General features: G+C 36.7%; 1 annotated feature.

Annotated features, from left to right (window-relative positions):
* Positions 1,336–1,929: an enhancer, noted in NCBI's record as "NANOG hESC enhancer chr8:66097743-66098336 (GRCh37/hg19 assembly coordinates)". NCBI's record gives its function as "activates a minimal SCP1, AML or CMV promoter by ChIP-STARR-seq in naive H9 embryonic stem cells {active_cell/tissue: H9 hESC(naive)}" and the evidence as "EXISTENCE:reporter gene assay evidence [ECO:0000049][PMID:30033119]".

Genomic DNA, 2,396 nt, shown 5'->3' on the forward strand with positions numbered 1-2,396 from the left:
CATATTAAGGGTTTGTATCACTTTAGATCCCTGATTCTAGAATGTTCCTCACTCTTCAGTGATTCAGGGAATCCTCATAATGCCCATGTTTTTGAAAAGAAAGGTTGATATTATTGTATTTCTTTGTTCTGCCCACTTGGACTTTCCTGATTTCACATTTGTAATTTTGACTACTTATGAGTGAACTTGTATCACTCCGGGTAGCACTTTGGATGAGGCATGAAATTTCATCTCATGAGTTGTGTGCTTAATCTTTGAGAAAGAAACTTTCAGCTAATGTGTGAGTCAACTCTAGCTGGCCATTCAACATCAACATCTACATGATATGACTGTTTTTACACTGCAGGCACTTCTAGGAAATTGTGTGTGTTTATAGTGTGCTCAAACACAGAGACTTATAGTGAGCATTTGTTGTTTTATTATTTCCAGCATCCTCCCATAGCCTGAAAACAGAACTCGAACTTTGCTTTGGAGGAACCATTTTTAATCACCTTTCATGATATATATAAGATTGACCTCATCCCCAAATTTTAAAGTGGGAATTGATTAGCTTAAGTCCTCTTGTGATCTCTCCGGCCAAATAATTGGTTGAAGACAGGACACAGAACCTAAACAGAGCCAATGAAACAGAGGAAATGTTTGTTTTGGCTTCTGGAAATAAAAAGCTTCTCTCTTCCATGGAGACTACCTAAAGAAATCTTCTTTCTTTTCCTTGCCAGTGAGACGTGAAGATGCAAGATCTAGAACTGCTAAGCCATTTTGAAACCCTGATGGCACCTGAAGACTGTCAGGGGTCCCTGTGTAGAGTCTGAGGATAAAATAAACACAAAAGATAAGAGTAACTGAGATAAAAACTGGTCCTTGACGACATCACATGAGTTTTCAGGTTAAGTTTCAATTACAGCCAGTCTTGATTGCCCTTCACAGCTGTGTGATCTAGCAAATTTCTTCTGTTGTTTATGTCAGTTTGAGCTGGGGGTCTCTGTGATTTGAAACTTAAAGATTCCTAACACATGTAAGATCCATGACTACATCAGGATGTAACTTTCAGTGTGCCTTGAAGGATGAGACAGAGGAAATGGGAAGTCATCAGTGGAGTCAAAGATGTCCATAGATGCTAGCGCACCTTCCTGAAATATCATGGTTTTGTGCAAAACCATGCACACATCAAAAAAAAATTTAATAAAATCTATTTATAAGGAATACTAGGGCCCACCCAGTAGCCACATTTTCCAAACCAGAAATTCATAAACATAATCTAGCAAAATATTTTTTTCTGACTTGCCAATTCATTATATAAAATCTCAGAATAGCATAAAACATTGAAATCACATTTCATTATGTATTTCACTCATTGCCTTTATTGGAATGAAAACAAAATTACATAAAATCAGGATTATCTCAGAAAATTCAGGCCATATGGTGGCCATATCTAGGGAACATCCACCTTGTTTTATTGGAATAAATTATTGTTAAAATGAACATACTGCTAGAAAGGCTGTTACCAGTCTGCAGGTCATAAAGATAAAAAAGCTAAACCAACCTCTCAGTGCTGAATTGGCAAGTGAAAAGATGCATTCTGCACACAATAGGTATGCAGTGAATATATTTGACTGACAAGAACCCTGCTAGGACTAGCAGTGAGCTATTTAAGCCCTGCTGTTTCTTGTTGACTTTGCCAGCCTTGGCTGCGGTGTGAGGATTCTGTAACCATTAACAAGAGCCCCAAGCTACATCTCCTCTTCCTCCATTTCAAAGTTTCGTAAACCATAGTGTCAGGCGCTGGGCTCTCATCAGTGACTGATAGGTACACAGGGTCTGAAGAAAACATTTTTGCTTTGGATTATTTGCTGAGAATAAAAATTTCATGTGCCTGTGTCAACAGGCTTGTAACTATGGAATTTTTAAATATATTCATTAAACTGTAAAATGATAGTCTTGTATTGAAATCGACCTGCTTTTAACCTATGTGTTTTAGGCATCTGGTGTCTAAAAATTCTTCCGTACAACACAAATCAAAGTAGATGAAACCAGTTAACTGAAAATAACAATGAAAGCGATCAGGTCTTTCAATTTCTGGAAGAGATGAAGAGAAATGAAATAGAGACCACCTTTGAAAATTGAAATTACAAAAGATTTTTAAAATACATTAATAAGTGTATGTGCCTATAATCTATATATGTAATATGTAACACCAACCACAAACACAGTTAGTCCCACATATTTCAAACTGACTTCAAGCATTAATCAACAAAAGGTGGCAAGGGCTTATCCTTCATGAGATAAAGCAGTTTAATTTAGGAGGGAGATAATTATATTTCCAGAAATGGAGTGATGTACCACCGTTCTATAGAATATCTGCCAAAGAATCAGTGGCATGAATGATCCTTATAAAT

The sequence above is a fragment of the Homo sapiens genome, chromosome 8, assembly GCF_000001405.40.
Source record: "Homo sapiens chromosome 8, GRCh38.p14 Primary Assembly".
NCBI classification, from domain to species: domain Eukaryota; kingdom Metazoa; phylum Chordata; class Mammalia; order Primates; family Hominidae; genus Homo; species Homo sapiens.